Below are 18300 nucleotides of genomic sequence, written 5' to 3' on the forward strand. Positions count from 1 at the left end.
CACTAAGGTCAGGAATAAAGTACTGATACCTACTAGCTCCACTAATATTTAACATTGCACTGGAGGTATTAACCAAAGTATTAAAGATAAGAGAAACAAATTAGAAGCCTAAGAATTGGAAAAGATAAAGTAAAACAATCTGTATTTGTAGATGACATGACAGGGTATGCGCCATCCAAAAAAGTAAGCACTAGACACATGTGGCTCCTGAGCACTTGCAATGTGACTAGTTCAAACTGAGATGTGCTGTAAATATAAAATGCACACTGGATTTTGAAGACACAGTAGAAAAAGAATGTAAACTATTTCACTAATAATGTCTTATATTGGTTACATATTGAAATGATAATGTTTTGGATATTATGGATTAAATATAGTATTAAAATTAATTTCACCTGCTTTTTTTTTTTTTTTTTTTTGAGATGGAGTCTTGCTCTGTTGCCCAGGCTGGAGTGCAGTGGCGTGAACTCGGCTCACTGCAACCTCTGCCTCCTGGGTTCAAGCGATTCTCCTGCCTCAGCCTCCTGAGTAGTTGGGATTACAGGTACCCACCGCCACGCCCAGCTAATTTCTGTATTTTTAGTAGAGATAGGGTTTCACCACATTGGCCAGGATGGTCTCGATCTCCTGACCTTGTGATCTGCCCGCCTTGGCCTCCCAAAGTGTTGGGATTACAAGCATGAGCCACCACGCCCAGCCTTTCTTTTTAAAATGTACTACAAAAATTTTAATTATGTACATAGCTCAAATTACATTTCTATTGGACAGTGCATCCCTATAAAATCAGTGATGAAGCTAGCTCAAACAGTGAAAGAATTGAGCAAGGTAACAGAATACGTAACTGACATACAAAACTCAACAGCCTTCATATATAGCAAATCAGTTAGATAATGTAACAGAGGCAGAAATACTCAGGAACAAAGTTAACAGGAAATATGAAAAATCCATATGAAGATAATTACAAAACACTGCTGAAAGACACACAAGTAGACTTGACAAAAAGACATCTATCCTTGTTCTTTTATTTTTCAATATCATCAAGTTGTTAGTTCTAAGTTAACTTACAAACTTAATGCAACCTCAATAAAAATACAAAGAAACCTTTCCCCACTGCCCCTGCCCTGCCCTGCCCCTGGAGCTGGATAAGTTGACATTAAACTTTGTATGTATTAAAAAAAACCACAACCAGGCACTGTAGCTCACACTGGTAGTCCCAGCTACTCAGGAGGCTGAGGTGGGAGGGTCACTTGAGGCTAGGAATTCAAGACCAGCCTATGCAACATAGCAAGATGCTGTCTCTAAACAACAGCAACAACAACAAACTAGCTGGGTGCAGCAGTGCATACCTGTAGTACCACCTGCTTGGGAAGCTGATCGTTTGAGCTCAGGAGTTGGAGACCAGCCTGAGCAATATAATGAGACCCTTGTTTCAAAAAACAAAACAAAACCAAAAAAAAAAAAAAAACCCCAAACACACAAAGCAGAAACCATAACAATAACTAAGAAAACAACAGAATGTGAGAGCTGAGGGAATTAGCCTTAGCAGACATTAAAATACAAAGCTTCTATTATGAAAACTGTGGTACTGGTACACCAATGGACAGGCACACCAATGGAATAGAAAAACAGACCCAACTATACACATAAATCTGGGATATGATAAAAGCAGTATCTCAAATTACTAGGGCAAAGATGAAGACATTAATAAATGATAGTGGAACAATGGATGGCCACTGGAAAAACACAAATTAGATCTATTTCTCACACCAAATACAAGAATAAATTCCAAATGGATCAGAGATGTAACAATAAAAAAGAAAAACAATATATAAGTACTAGAGGAAAATATAGGTGAATTCCTATAATGAAAGGTTAATAAATTTAACTATAAAATTAAAACTTTTGCATGAGAAACAAATGAAAAACTACCATAAGCAAAGTACAAATTGGGAGAAAATATTTACGATATATGTTACAATAAAAGGGTGTATCTAACATACAAAGGACTTTTAAAATTGAGAGGAAAAAAGACCTATAATCACACGGGTAAATGAGCAAAAGAAATGACAACCTGTAAAAGAAAAAAAAAAGATAAAATGGCACCCTAGACATATGAAAAGATGTTAAACTTCACTCATAAAAAGAGAAATGCAAATTAAAATTATATTGAGAAACCAGTTCTCACCCATCAGATTGGCAAAAAAGTCAAAAGCTTGATAATATACTCTGTTGGTGAGGCTACGGGAAAACAAGCACATTGCTGGTGAGAATGAAAACTGGTAGCATCTCTGTGGAAGGGAATTTGGCAGTATCTAACAAAACTATATTTGCCTTTACCCTTGGACCCAAGAATACCGCTTCTGGTCATTTACCCTGAAGATACACCTCCAAATATGAAAATACATGTGTACAAGTTTATTAAGCAATACATATACAGTATTACATATTATTGTACAATATACTATATATAATAATCTATACACTATATATAGTTTCTGGTGTGTGTGTGTGTGTGTGTGTGTGTGTATTTATTTATGCAATGGTAGCATTATTTGTAATTGTAAAATACCAGAAACTATATTGATTGTATACACACACACATACACAATGGAGTAGTCTACAGCTTAGAATAAGGGAGATCTTTGTGAACTTGCAAAGGAGTGACTCCCAGGGTATACTGTTAAGTAAAAGAAGAAAGCAAAGTACAAAAGAGAATATAGAGCATGCTAACTTTTGTGTAAGAAGGGTAGGAAAACACACATAAATTTGCTTACTTTTGTAAAATGAAACATTGGAGGATAAACCAGAAAATAGTGAAAGTGATTGCTTAAAGAGGGTAGTGGTGGTGGAAGGAATAAGGTAGAAGAGAAAGGGTGGACGATACTTCTCTTAGTAAATGTTTTGTATGACTTTTGACTCTTGGAAGCAAGTTAATTTTCTATATATTCAAAAAATAAAATTAAATCCATAAAGATAAGGACAAAAACTGAACCTTAAACTGAATGCAAACAGGAACAAATAAACTCAACTATATTTTATTTTTTTAGGGATAGGGTCTGACTCTGTCACCTAGCCTGGTGTGCAGTGGCTCAATCATAACTCGTTGCAGCCTCGGACTCCTAGGCTCAAGCGATCCTCCCAGCTTAGTTTCCTGAGTAGCTAGCTGGGACTACAGATGTGTGTCCCCATGCCTGGCTAATTCACAACTGTGTTTTAAATGAATAACATAATTACACTGAAGGAAAAAAAGTAATTCAAGTAATTTTTGAACAGAGTACTTTAAGTACTTTAACCATCTAAGGAGGAAAAAAACGTAAACAAATCTTGAACTCTTCTAAGAGTTTTTCCATAGTGGTATGCATATAGAATTCTGAAACTTATTTTATGTGTATTATAGGATGTTGGCGGAAACTAAGATTCATACTGTAGAAAAAGGGGAGATGTAAAATATTTACCAACCTGTAAATGATGGGCATGTCCCAGGAGTGTCATTGAACAGATTTCTCTTCTCTGTCTACACTCTAGTCCTTAGGTAAGTGGTTCTTAAACTTTAGTCTGCATGGCTTGTTAAAATTCAGATTGCTGAGCCCCAGCCTCTGAGTTTCTGCTTTAGTAGGTCTGGGAATTTGCTTTTCTGGGCAGTGCTGATGCTGCTGGTCTGGGGACCACATTTTCAGAACACAACCCTAGGATCTCCTCTAGCCTCATGGCTTTAAATTCTACCTATAATTAAAACTTCCAAGTTTATATTACCAGCTTAGAAATTTCCCTTAAACTTCTTGTTTTTAATACAATTTCCCACTTGAAAATCTATTAGACATTCTAAGCATAGTATATCTGCAACTGAAGTTCTGACTCACCTATCTCAGTCCATAGACTTGTTCTTCCCAAGACTTCTCTATCTCCTTTCAAATGGCACAAGCTAAAAACCTTGGAGTTGTCCTTGACCCCTCTCTTCTTCTTATATTCCTGTCCTATTAGCAGTCCATGAGCTATAACTTGAAAATGTATTAACAATCTGATCGTTTTTCATAAGTCCCCTTCATACTTCTTTGGCCTAAGCCACCATCATCTCTAACCTGGGTTTTTACAATAAGCCTTTTGAATGGTTTGTCTCTGCTCCTCTACTCTAATTTGAACACAGCTACCAGAGTGAGCCTGTTAAAACATGCTTCAGATCTCACCATTCCTTTGCTCAAAACCTTCAATAGCTTCCCCTTTCACTCAGAACTAAAGCCAAGGTCCTTATGCTGAACTTTGGAGCCCTATATGATCTGATTCCTCATTATTTTTCTGACCTACTTCCTACCACTCTCCCTTGATTATTCCACTCTAACCATGTTGTCTCTTTTTTTTTTTTTTTTTTTTTTGAGACAGAGTCTTGCTCTGTTGCCCAGGCTGGAGTGCAGTGGTACAATCTCAGATCACTGCAACCTCTACCTCCCAGGTTCAAGCGAGTCTCGTGCCTCAGCCTCTCGAGTAGCTGGGACTACAGGCATGTGCCACCATGCCTGGCTAATTTTTGTATTTTTAGTAGAGATGAGGTTTTGCCATGTTGGCCAGGCTAATCTCAAGCTCCTGGCCTTAACTGATCCACCTGCCTCACTCTCCCAAAGTGCTGGGATTACAGGTGTGAGCCACCATGCCTGGCCAATATTGTCCTTTTTGCTAGTGATTCTCAAACTCTTTGGTGTCAAGACCGCTTTACACTCTTAAAATTTATGGAGGTCCACAAAGAGTTGTTATGTGTTGTATCTATCAACATTTATCATATTAGAAATTAAAACTTAGATACAATATGAATTTTAAGTTAACACAAACATGTTAACACCTTTTTATGAAATTATATTTTCCAAAACAATAAGTTTAGTGAAAAGAACATTATTTTATATTTTTGCAAATCTCTTCATCTCTGATCTAACAGAAGGCAGTTAGATGCTCATATCTGCTTCTGCATTCAATCTGTTGCCATACGTAATTTTTGGTTGAAGTTACAAAGAAACTCCAGACTCATGGGATATGTAGCTGGAAAAGGGAGGAGTACTGAAATAACCTTTTCAGGTAATTGTGGATATTCTCCTTTGATTCTAAACCAAAAAAAAAAAAGATAAATGCTTGAGGTGATTGATATCCCAATAACCCTGATTTAATCCTTACACACTGTATGCCTGTATCAAAATATCACATGTACCCCATAAATATGTATAACAATTACATACCTACAATTAAAAATAATTTTTTAAATTAAAAGTTAAAAAAATTAAAAAGCTCACTCTGAAACTCAGCAAGTGGTAGTTTCTTTAAAAATGTTAGTTGAAGGCCAGGCGCGGTGGCTCACGCCTGTAATCCCAGCACTTTGGGAGGCTGAGGCGGGTGGATCATGAGGTCAGGAGATCGAGACCATCCTGGCTAACACGGTGAAACCCCATCTCTACTAAAAATACAAAAAATTAGCTGGGCGCAGTGGCGGGTGCCTGTAGTCGCAGCTACTTGGGAGGCTGAGGCAGGAGAATGGTGTGAACCTGGGAGGCGGAGCTTGCTGTGAGCCAAGATAGCACCACTGCACTCCGGCCTGGGCGAAAGAGCGAGACTCCGTGTCAAAAAAAAAAAAAAAAAAAAATGTTAGTTGAGAGACACAACAAAAAAAGACACTTTTAGACCAATATCCCTGATGAACATGGATGCAAAAATCCTCAATAAAATACTGGCAAACCGAATCCAGCAGCATGTCAAAAAGCTTATACATCATGATCAAGCTGGCTTCATCCCTGGGATGCAAGGCTGGTTCAACATACGCAAATCAACAAACGTAATCCATCATATAAACAGAACTAAAGATAAAAACCACATGATTATCTCAATAGATGCAGAAAAGGCCTTCGACAAAATTTAACAGCATTTCATGCTAAAAACTCTCAATAAACTAGGTATTGATGGGATGTATCTCAAAATAATAAGAGTTATTTATGACAAACCCACAGCCAATATCATACTGAATGAGCAAAAACTGGAAGCATTCCCTTTGAAAACTGGCACAAGAAGGGAAGCCCTCTCTCACCACTCCTATTCAACATAGTGTTGGAAGTTCTGGCCAGGGCAATCAGGCAAGAGAAAGAAATAAAGGGTATTCAATTAGGAAAAGAGGAAGTCAAATTGTCCCTGTTTGCAGATGACATGATTGTATATTTAGAAAACCCCATCATCTCAGCCCAAAATCTCCTTAAGCTGATACGCAACTTCAGCAAAGTCTCAGGATACAAAATCACAAGCATTCCTATACACCAATAACAGACAAACAGAGAGCCAAATCATGAGTGAACTCCCAATCACAATTGCTTCAAAGAGAATAAAATACCTAGGAATCCAACTTACAAAGGATGTGAAGGACCTCTTCAAGGAGAACTACAAACCACTGCTCAATGAAATAAAAGAGGACACAAACAAATGGAAGAACATTCCATGCTCATGGATAGGAAGAATCAATATTGTGAAAAATGGCCATACTGCCCAAGGTACTTTACAGATTCAATGCCATCCCCATCAAGCTACCAATGACTTTCTTCACAGAATTGGAAAAAACTACTTTAAAGTTCATATGGAACCAAAAAAGAGCCCGCATTGCCAAGACAATCCTAAACCAAAAGAATAAAGCTGGAGGCATCACGCTACCTGACTTCAAACAATACTACAAGGTTACAGTAACCAAAACAGCATGGTAGTGGTACCAAAACAGAGGTATAGACCAATGGAACAGAATAGAGCCCTTGGAAGTAATACCACACATCTACAACCATCTGATCTTTGACAAACCTGAGAAAAACAAGAAATAGGGAAAGGATTTCCTATTTAATAAATGGTGCTGGGAAAACTGGCTGGCCATATGTAGAAAGCTGAAACTGGATCCCTTCCTTACACCTTATACAAAAATTAATTCAAGATGGATTAAAGACTTAAATGTTAGACCTAAAACCATAAAAATCCTAGGAGAAAACCTAGGCAATACCATTCAGGACATAGGCATGGGCAAGGACTTCATGTCTAAAACACCAAAAGCAATGGCAACAAAAGCCAAAATTGACAAATGGGATCTAATTAAACGAAAGAGCTTCTGCACAGCAAAAGAACTATCAGCAGAGTGAACAGGCAACCTACAAAATGGGAGAAAATTTTTGCAATCTACCCATCTGACAAAAGGCTAATATCCAGAATCTACAAAGAACTTAAACAAATTTACAAGAAAAAATCAAATAACCCCATCAAAAAGTGGGCAAAGGATATGAACAGCCACTTCTCAAAAGAAGACATTTATGCAGCCAACAGACACATGAAAAAATGCTCATCATCACTGGCCATCAGAGAAATGCAAATCAAAACCACAATGAGATACCATCTCACACCAGTTAGAATGGCGATCATTAAAAAGTCAGGAAACAACAGGTGCTGGAGAGGATGTGGAGAAATAGGAATGCTTTTACACTACTGGTGGGACTGTAAACTAGTTCAACCATTGTGGAAGACAGTGTGGCGATTCCTCAAGGATCTAGAACTAGAAATACCATTTGACCCAGCAATCCCATTACTGGGCATATACCCAAAGGATTATAAATCATGCTGCTATAAAGACACACGCACACATATGTTTATTGCGGCACTATTCACAATAGCAAAGACTTGGAACCAACCCAAATGTCCATCAATGATAGACTGGATTAAGAAAATGTGGCACACGTACACCATGGAATACTATGCAGCCATAAAAAAGGATGAGTTCATGTCCTTTGTAGGGACATGGATGAAGCTGGAAACCATCATTCTCAGCAAACTATCGCAAGGACAGAAAACTAAACACCGCATGTTCTCACTCATAGATGGGAATTCAACAATGAGATCACTTGGACACAGGGTGAGGAACATCACACACGGGGCTGTCATGGGGTGGGGGGAGGGGGGAGGAATAGCATTAGGAGATATACCTAATGTAAATGACGAGTTAGTGGGTGCAGCACACCAGCATGGCACATGTATACATATGTAACAAACCTGCACGTTGTGCACGTGTACCCTAGAACTTAAAGTATAATAATAATAAAAAAAGTTAATCAAAATGTGAAAGTTGAAATAATACTAATAAACTTTTCATATTCTGTTAATATTAAAATCTTTTAGTCTATCTTGTACTTTGAATGAATTTTTAATCCATGCCTGATTTTGTAATATCATGCATTGGTCATTTGTAAAACACTGTTTCACTGAGTTATACAGATTTCCCAAATATCAGCATATTTTATTATTCAGTATCAAAAATACACATTAGTTGGTATCACCACAATCTCATCAGAAAAGTCTTTAAGTACGGGGAAGCTGTCAAGATTATGGTGGCAGGCACAAGGTTTCCAAAATTCTAATTTTCATTTGAAAGCTTGAATTTTATCATTGCTAACAAATGCTATTAGCTGTTTTCTCTAAAGTGACAGGCTCACTTAGTTCATTTTTGAGAAAACGTCTGCCAAACACCCAAATCTGAATAACGAGTTTGTCTTGTTAGTCATTCTTTCAAGTAAAAATGGAGTTTCATAAAAAAGTAGCTAGTTCAGCTGACAGCTCAATTATACAAGCGTTTTTTCTTCAGGCAACCACAGTACATCAGTACGCACCAGAATTGCACTAGTCATACTTCTCATTTCATCGCAAAGAATGTTAAGATATCTACTCAAAGGCTGGGATTTAATAAGCTTAATAAATTTTACTGCTTCATCAAGGACACTGTTAAGTGAACTTGGCTTATGCCCGAGTTGCTTTTTGGTTTTGTTTTGGTCCCCCTGCAACATGTGGCAATCAAGTATATCATTACTATTACTATAGTTGGTGCCTTGATTTGTGTCAAGGTGCCAGCAGTTTTACTTACCATTGCTTTTATACCAATCAATGCAAATATTAACCCAGTAAAAAAGGCAAGTAGAGTTAACATTATGAAAATGGTCTTGACCTTGAAGATGCTGTGAAAGGGTCTTGGGGATCCCAAGGATCCAAGGAGTACAGTTTGAGAATTGTTAAACTAAGCAAACTATTGCTTTGGTGCACTTAAACTTTCAACTCTCTTTACTAAGAAAGAATTTCTTTCTCCCTCTTAGTGGTAGATAAAATAATTTTTTTAAAAAGAAAAAAAAGAGCCAGGCATCATGGCTCACGCCTGTAATCCCAGCACTTTGGGAGGCTGAGACTGGTAGATCACCTGAGGTCAGAAGTTTTGACCAGCCTGGCCAACATGATGAAACCCCGTCTCTACTAAAAATACAAAAATTAGCCGGACTTGGTAGCAGGTGCCTGTAATCCCAGCTAATCAGGTGGCTAAGGCAGGAGAATTGCTAGAACCCAGAAGGCGGAGGTTGCAGTGAGCTGAGATTGCACCATTGCACTCCAGCCTGTGGAGCAGAGTGAGACTCTGCCTCAAAAAAAAAAAAAAAATTCTTTTTCCTAGACAGCCATATCTCTGCTCAAATGATACCTTTCAGTGAAGCTTTCCCTCATCATCCTATATAAAACAATACCTCCAACCCATCACCCCCAAACCCCTGGCACTCTCTATTCTCCTTCTTCTGCTTTACCTGTCTTTATTTTTTCTCCAGATAAATTATCGCTACCAGTTTACCTGTTTATGTCTCTCTCAACTAGAATACAACTTCTTAAGGACTATGTTGTTATGTCCACATCTTACAATTATGCTTTACACATGGTGGGTGCTCAATAAATGTTAGTTGAGTGAATAAATGTAACCCATACTCTAGCATTTGATTCTAGAATTCTGCTTCACTTTGACTGCTTTTTCAGTGGTTTATGTTTTATTTCCCTAGCAGACTACAAATTCTCAAAACAGAGGCTAACCTATATTCCATGTAGTCCCCAAAGCTTTGGGCCTTGGATATACTATGTGCAGTCTTTTTCCTAGGGAATATTTGCAGTCCCACAGTCACAATTCTGAGTAAAACCTATTCCCAAGTGACAGCACACGTATTGGGCAGTGAAAACTGGGAAAAAAATTAGACATATTTCCTCTGGTTTGTAATAAGTTCTACTGTAGTTATGAATGTTGTAACTGGTATATGACAGTGCTGACCTCCTACCTCCTGGGGTCTATGTTTTCTATATAAAAATATGCTGGAAGCAGGAAAATGTGCCATTCTGATGCTATATTCTGGTCGATTTTAAGCAGATGATTCTTGGTTGAACATGCGAATATATATATTTCAAATGAGCAGATTTGGCTCTGTGCAGCCAAGATTCTTAAAAATATTCTTTCTTTGACACCGTCTTGTATTTCTGGGAAACTAAGGATACGTTCCTTGGCATTGAGAAAAATGCTTAAGTAAGTTTATCATATCATTATTAAAAAAGAAAATTTGGACCATTAAACTAGGGGAATAATTAAGCAAACAATTGCATATCCATTCAATTGACTCTTACATAATAACTTAAAATGATGGTTATAAAGATTGTATAACAACACAGAACAAGATAGATAATATTTAGTGAAAAACAGAATAGGATAGCATACAGTAAAATATACAGTGTGATTAAACTGCATTTTTAAAAACTGTAAAAAATAAAAACCAGAATAGAATATACAAAATGTTAACAATAGCAAAAGAGGTTAGGAAGGTAGGAAGCTCAGGTTAACACTAGATTCAATAATACTAGCAATAATAGGAACAGACACTGAACTTTTATGACTTATTACAATTATTAACGGAATGATTTACCCAACACAGTCTTAGAATACTGAAAGTTGGAAGCAACCTTATGTCATCTAGTTTAACCTTTTTAAAAAATAGATGGAGAAACTAAACATTATAGAGGAAAAATACTTGCTTAAGATCTCCCAGGAAATAAATAGCAAAGGTGGAGCTGGACATTTGAACATGGTGTGTGATTTTAAGGAAGTTACTTCATTTCTCTGCATTGTAGTTTCTTCATTTGTAAAATAGATAATAGTACTTACCTACAGATTATTGTCAAGATTACATGAAATAACAATTGAAGAGATCAGTCCGGCACTGGCTACATAGTGAACGCTCAATAAACCTTAGCCTTGTTCTCATCTGACTGTAGTGAACTTTCTGCTACTATGTTGCTACGTGGGAGGTGAAGAGCAGGGTAGATTGGAGAGGAAAAGAAATAAAACACTCATCAGGCAACTACGGCAAAATGATACTCTTGACCCTAATTGTTCTGGGACCCTGAAACTCTGCTCCTGTAGAGGATACAGTCAAAGGGAATCCTGTTCTATGGCCATAGTGGACCAACATGACTACACAAAGTGCAGACAGGCTAGTATCTTTTTCTTTCTCCTTTCCCTACCTTTTTTCTCATTCTTCTCATGCTAATAATTAGTATGAAACAATCCTAATGCTTACCACTTCACAGGCAGTAACTGGGCTATTAGATGGGACCAGCTGCTAAAGGGATTACACACATTAGCAGCAATTTCCAGTCTTTCAAACTAGTTCAAAGAACATGCTAGTTTTTAATCACTCTGGGGCCCTTCAGTTCTGCTCCAGTTTTGGCAATGTGCAATATGTCTAAGTATACAAAAGGGCAAAAATACTTTACCTAAAATAATAAATGGATAATTAGTTTAGTGTTCTTGAAGTAAAATGTATATCTAGAAATCAAGTTAGTTTGTCAGATACTGGCTCAGAGTATTGGCCTTTAAGGTTAGGAGAAATTGTTATCTTTTACTGGAAACTCATCTGGACAACTAGTCTTCTTAATTTGCAACTCTGCTGACTGATTTCAGACTTAGCTTTCTGGTTGTTCATGTTTAGATCTAGCATATTCTGCTAATGACACGGTCTACCTCCAACTCAGCATTTATTCTTTTTGCTTAGTTTGGCATCAAGTCCACGGTTTCCCTAGCATTTGATCTTAGTCTGCTTCTAGTTTTAGGATCCTCTAGTACTGAAAGCTTAAAGGAATGCGGCTCAAAAAAGAATGTCTTTTCCAGAGAAACTGTCTCCCGAATGTCTCAAATTCATTTCTTTTCTTTTTTAGAAACAGGGTGTCACTCTGTCACCCAGGCTGGAGTGCAGTGGCACGATCATAGTTCACTGTAGCCTCAAACTCCTGGGCTCAAGCAATCCTCCTGCCTCAGTCTCCCAAGTAGTTGGGACTACAGGCATGTGCCACCACAGCTAGCTAATCAAATTCATTTCTTCCACTCAAATACCACTGCCTCAACTTTAATATACATCCTCAAAATCCCTTGTCTTAATCACTGAAATGGTGAACTAACCAGTCTCTCTCCCTCTAACTTATTCTAACCCATCATTACCTCTATTCCTTATCTAACAGGTCATAAAGATCTGTCTAAAACACAAATGTGATCATGTCACTCCTTTGGTTAAAATTCTTCAATAGTCTCTTTGTAATATTTTCTGTGTAAATTCAGAATAAGCCGTGCTATTCTTTCACCTTGTCTGATTTCAGTTTCTTGACATAGTCTCTGTGCTTAAGTTTTTGGAACGATTCTTTTTCTTAGCTGGTGCCTTGCATGTTAGCCCCCTGGAATTAATTGCCTCTCGAACTGGTTATCAACTCTAAACATCCTTCAGCAAATGACACAAATCCCAATAAGTTCTATCCAGTCTTCCCTCTTTTTCACCTACTCAGTCTCTATTAGTATTATTTTGAGCTTTATATATTATATATTTCTGGGTAACTCTTAAATATTTCATTCTATTTTGACAACTATTTCACAAGCACCTGCTTCTGTAATACACATAAACTGAAACTTTTAAATACTACTTATGAAAGACTCACCTTATTTATTATCATACAAACAACATATATCATTTGGTAGCTAATTCAAGTAAAACTTGAGAAAGTGACCTTTTACCAGGCTTCAATTTCCTTATTCACAAAATAACAGCATTAAAATAGAAAATAACTCACATTTTTTGAATGCTTAATATGTGCCAGGTGTTCTAATATGTAAATTCTTAACTCCTTACAACAACCCTGTGAGTAGGTACTGTTACTGCCTCAATTTATAGATGAAGAAACAAAGACTAATGGAAGTTAAATAATTTGCTAAGGGAGGTTAAGTGAAGTGACAGTAAATTGCTAAAAAGGTCATTTTGAAAATTCTGTGAGAATTTTATGGTTCTGAAAAAATATACAGATGTAGCTCTTTTTTCACAAGATGGCACTGAAGACAAAGAAGGAAGCTCCTGTCCCTCCCAAAGCCAAAGCCAAAGCAAGGCCTTTGAGGGCCAAAAAGACAGTACTGAAAAGTGACCACAGGCACTCCCTCCCTCCCCCTTCCTCCCCCCGACCCCCACCCCCCGCCAGCCCACAAATGTACATGTCACCAACCTGGCAGCCCAAGACACTACAGCTCTGGAGGCAGCCCAAATATCCTTGGAAGGGCACCCACAGGAGAAAGAAATAAGCGTGACCGCTATGCCATTATTAAGTCCCTCCTGACCACTGGGTCAGCCATGAAGAAGATAGAAGACAACAACACACTTGTGGATGTCAAAATCAACAAGTACCAGATCAAACAGGTTGTAAAGAAGCTCTATGACACTGATGTGGTCAACACCCTGATCAGGCCTGAGGGAGAGAAGAAGGCAGATGTTTGACTGGCTCCTGATTATGATGCTCTGGATGTTGCCAACAAAACTGGGATTATCTAAAGTGAGTCCAGCTGGCTAATTCTAAATGTATATATTTTCACCATAAAAATATAGCAAATCTAAACAGGATGCAGAATAAAATCAAATCAGCAACAGTTCTTTCTATCTTATATTACATTAGTGCTTTGAAGGATCTCTCTTCCACTCCTAATCCTTCTCATTCTACTCCCAACACACATTTCAAACGCATCCAAACTCCCAGCTGCTGGTTTAAAAAAGGGCCCTGGAATTTCCTGTAGGTCTCACTATGCATTTCCAAAATCACAGATGGAAACCTATCATATGAGACTTACACTTCATAATTCTCAAAGTACTTTAACATTCATTAATTTACCCCATATTCACAATTATCTCAGCCTTATTTACCTAACGGTTATCTCTAAATCTCCTTTGAGGCATAGAGAAGTGAAGTGTGGTATGAAAGAAAGAACACTGACTTTGAAGTCAGAAACCCATGGAATTAGGTTCAAGTCCTTGCAAATAACCTCTTTAAGTTATGGGTTATTATGAAGTTTAGCTGAGATAAAGTTTGAGAATGTGGATATGAGTACTGTGTCTGACATGACCTAGGGACTCCATAAATCTTAGTTTCTTATTCTTCCCCTCAACCTTTCTGAGCCCGTTTCCTTATGTAAAATATGGGCAAATACTATAAATCCCACTGGAGGTTTGTGAAGTTTACTCAGATAATGTATCAAAGTGTCTTTAGGACCTTGTATGGGCTTGCTAAATGTTAACTTTCTTTCTTCTTAAGATGATGCTCAGTAAACATGCTCTAAACAACATTAGAAAAGGTGATTAGTTTAATCTAGTACTAAACAGGAGAAAAACAAAAGTTTAAACATATTTTTATGGTCTAGCCTGGTGACCTACACTCTTTTCCATGGAAAGCTCAAAATAAGACTGTGTCTATAGGTATACTCTGATTATTGATTATATATAAATGAGTGAATTCAGCTCTAAGGTAGGCTTCTATGTTTTTATACAGCAAATACTGTATTTCCCTATTGATTTGAGTGAAGAAAAGTTATCACAAGATAAAAAAGAGCAAGTATCTGATGAAAACTTTTACTAAGGAGAATACTAAGTTTATCAAAACCCGGGTATGGTGATAAAAGAGAATTGTAAAAGCACTTTCCACTTAGCCTGGGCAACATAGTGAGATCTCGTCTCTAACAACAACAAAAAAAGGTACTTTCCCAGTCTTATAAATTACCATTTCTACCCCCTAGGCAGCAAAAAAAATTAACTACCAGAAAATCCCCTCATCTAGCATGGCCATTATGTCTTTAAGTTTGGTTCAACTTGCGCTGAGACTAGACAAGGAGTAACGTAAAGCATCTACCATGACCATTACAGAATACAAAAATATAAAAACACAATCCCTTATCTTTAACATGTGAGGTCATAGGATAGCCTTTTCTTTTCTTTTTCTTTTTTTTTTTTTTTTGAGACGGAGTCTCACTCTATTGCCCATGCTGGAGTGCAGTGGCACGATCTCGGCTCACTGCAACCTCTGCCTCCTGGGTTCAAGTTATTCTTCTGCTTCAGCCTCCCAAGTAGCTGGGACTACAGGCACCTGCCACCACGCCCAGCTCATTTTTGTATTTTTAGTACAGACAGGGTTTCACCATATTGGTCAGGCTGGTCTCGAACTCCTGACCCCGTGATCCGCCTGCCTTGGCCTCCCAAAGTGCTGGGATTACAAGCGTGACCCACTGCACCCAGCCAGTATAGTCCTTTTTAAAGGGAAATCAGAATGCCTCTCCATTTCACACTAATGAGGCTGTCCCTGCAGTCTAGAGTTTATTCTAGGCATAGCATTGTAAACTTAAATGGATCAAGAAAAGAAAACTCTAAAGTCAAAGCTGAACCTGGGGTTGGGGAGGCGGGGAGAAAAAAAAAAAGAAGAGAGCTCAAGATGATGAGGGGCTTAGAAACTATACAATCTCAAAAATAGCGGGGAAAAAAAGACCTAGGGAAACAAGAGTATGTGAAAAGGTTTTGGATGAAAGAAAAACCAAATTAGAGCCAATGGATAGATACTGGGGAAAGCATATTTCAGCTTACAGTAAAAAACAGTATTTTTAGACATTTGTGCTATCACAAATTAAAAGTGCTCCTTTGGGAGGTTATAATCTCTGCCTGTGGGAGCATTTAAGTAACAGCAAATAAGCATTTATAGGGATGGTTTCAAGATGAGTCTTAAGTTAGGTGGGAGGTTGAATTTGATTTCCTCTAGCCCCAGCACTCTAAGACTCTATGACTTTTTACTTTCCTCACATCTCACATTTAATAGTAGGGCAAATAACTGATTCTTAACCAATGTAACTTTTAGATGGGAGAGAAATGGTAAAGAGTAACTCTGAAGTCTGTATTTATTGATAAGATGTAAAGCTCATTCTGGTGGATATACACATTTTTTCAAAATTTTTAATTTTCATTTGAAACCTTAAATTTATAATTCACAGAAAATGCTTATAGGTTGCCTTCCTTGAAGTGATCAGATCATTTCATTTTGGAGAAAATGTCTGCTAAATATCCAAGTCCGCTGTTTTTTTCAAGCAAAGATAATATTCCATGAAAAAAGTAGCTAGTTGAGCTTACAACTCAAACAATTGCACAAATGCTTTTTCCTGAGTCAACTATCATACTTGGATATTTTAAAAATGGAGACACTGGACTCACAGAAGTTAAAAGACTTGCCAAAGGCCACATAGCTAAAGCTAGGAGTTGAACCTAGATCTTTTGGTCTCCAAAGTCTATATTCTTTCCACTATGTTACTCTGAAACCAATGAATAAAACACTAGTGTATACCTGAATAAAAGAGAGAAGATAAAGAACTAAACATGCCTAGTTATAATAATGAAGGACACTAGGCCTCTGCTGCCTTCTAGGTTTCTCTAAATAATCCTTAGGAGTCTTAACTGCCCAAAAGAATTTATCATCAGATTTCTCGTCTCTATAGCAACAACAGAGCATAGGGAATTGGGAATAAATTAATAAAATGTAAAATAGGCTATTGTGCATGCACACGCATGTGTGTGTGTGTGTGTCTACATGGCATAGGAGAGCATGAACAATGGAAAAGAAAAAAAGAGCTGGGGAAAATCCATTTGGTTTATCAGTTTCCTGGAATGGAATCTTATTTTTCATTCACAGTAGTGTATCATTGGCCTTGGTATAGTAATTTAGAGGATATGTTTTTTATTAGCTTTGCTCAACTTGGCTGGGTTCAGCTATGTGCTGCCAGCTGGGCTGATGCCAAGGCTGAAACTCCAGTCTTCTAAATTCCAGTTCACTTAAACAGCATGGGTTGCCTCCTGCTCTGATCCAGCTCAGTTAACACTTTTGGTACTCCATATCCAGCTCCTTTTTTCTCTCCTGACTCATTCCTACAACATGGATAGAGGACCTCTGCAACTACAAAGACATGTCACATTTTCCTGGGGACTTCAGGCTGATAAATCTGCAGAGAGTGGGGGAAAACAGATAACTAAAATCATGCATGATAGGACCACAAACTTCAAAAGCCTCATATTACTGAAACTAAAAGGTGCAACTGACCTTAGTTTTCTAGGGCAGTAGGTAAGATGATTCAGGAGCAGTTTCGGCAAGTGGAGGGCTATATTTTCTTAGAAGATGGTCTGCTAATGGCTAGTCAAGCTTAGGCCACTCAGAAAGGTGGCATGAAAGCACATGGTGAGAAAGCACCTGCTAGTCAGCCACACAGTCAAAAACATTCCAGCTTTCCTTAGCACAAGACAATAAATTTTAACAGCTTACAACCACAATCCTGCCTTCTTGCCATATCACCCTCAGAACCTCCTCTTTTTTCTTTGCTTGGTTTGAGTTTGCCAGGTTTTTCTCATCTTCTTAACATATATGAATGTTTATGTTTTGTTTTTTTTCTATTAAGTCATTATTGAGATTCAGAAATTCTCATTTATAACTGTAATAGTTCCTCAAAAATAATCTAGGGAATCAAGGGAAGAAAATTTTTTTTTTTTTCTTTAAGACAGAGTCTCACTCTGTCACCCAGGTTGGAGTGCAGTGGCATGATCTCGGCTCACTGAAACCTCCACCTCCCAGGTTCAAGCGATTCTTCTGTCTCAGTCTCTTAAGTTGCTACGATTACAGGCATGAGCCGCCACTCCTGGCTAATTTTTTTTTATTTTTTTATTTTCAGTAGAGATGGAGTTTCACCATGTTGGCCAGGCTGGTCTCAAACTCCTGACCTCCAGTGATCCATTCGCCTTGGCCTCCCAAAGTGCTGGGATTATAGGCATGAGCCACTGCGCCCGGCCCAAGGGAAGAAATTTAGTAACACAATTTATCACTGGTTTTCAGTAAGATTTTCCTGAAAATCACCAACACTTATTTAAAATTGGGGATTTTGTAAATTGATATGTATTGATGCTGGCACAGTGGGTGTTACAATAAAAGCTTGCCAAAAAAACCCTATATGGGTTCTATGTATTCCCAAGAAAACAGTAAATGTGGTCAAATTTATGAACTGCATAAATCACATCTCACTATTTCAAACAGCTTGAGAGATGCCAATTGTTTCATTATACATGTCGAAAACTGCTACCATTCTCAGGC

General features: G+C 37.7%; 1 protein-coding gene and 1 pseudogene across 42 annotated transcripts in view; one reads left to right on the forward strand and one right to left on the reverse strand.

Annotated features, from left to right (window-relative positions):
- SCMH1 (Scm polycomb group protein homolog 1) overlaps window positions 1-18300 on the reverse strand; it is a 215105-nt gene that overhangs the window by 58238 nt on the left and 138567 nt on the right. The gene's annotated exons all lie outside the window — the stretch shown is intronic.
- Window positions 13360-13744, forward strand: RPL23AP17 (ribosomal protein L23a pseudogene 17; annotated as a pseudogene).

This window comes from Homo sapiens, chromosome 1 (genome assembly GCF_000001405.40).
Source record: "Homo sapiens chromosome 1, GRCh38.p14 Primary Assembly".
NCBI lineage: Eukaryota > Metazoa > Chordata > Mammalia > Primates > Hominidae > Homo > Homo sapiens.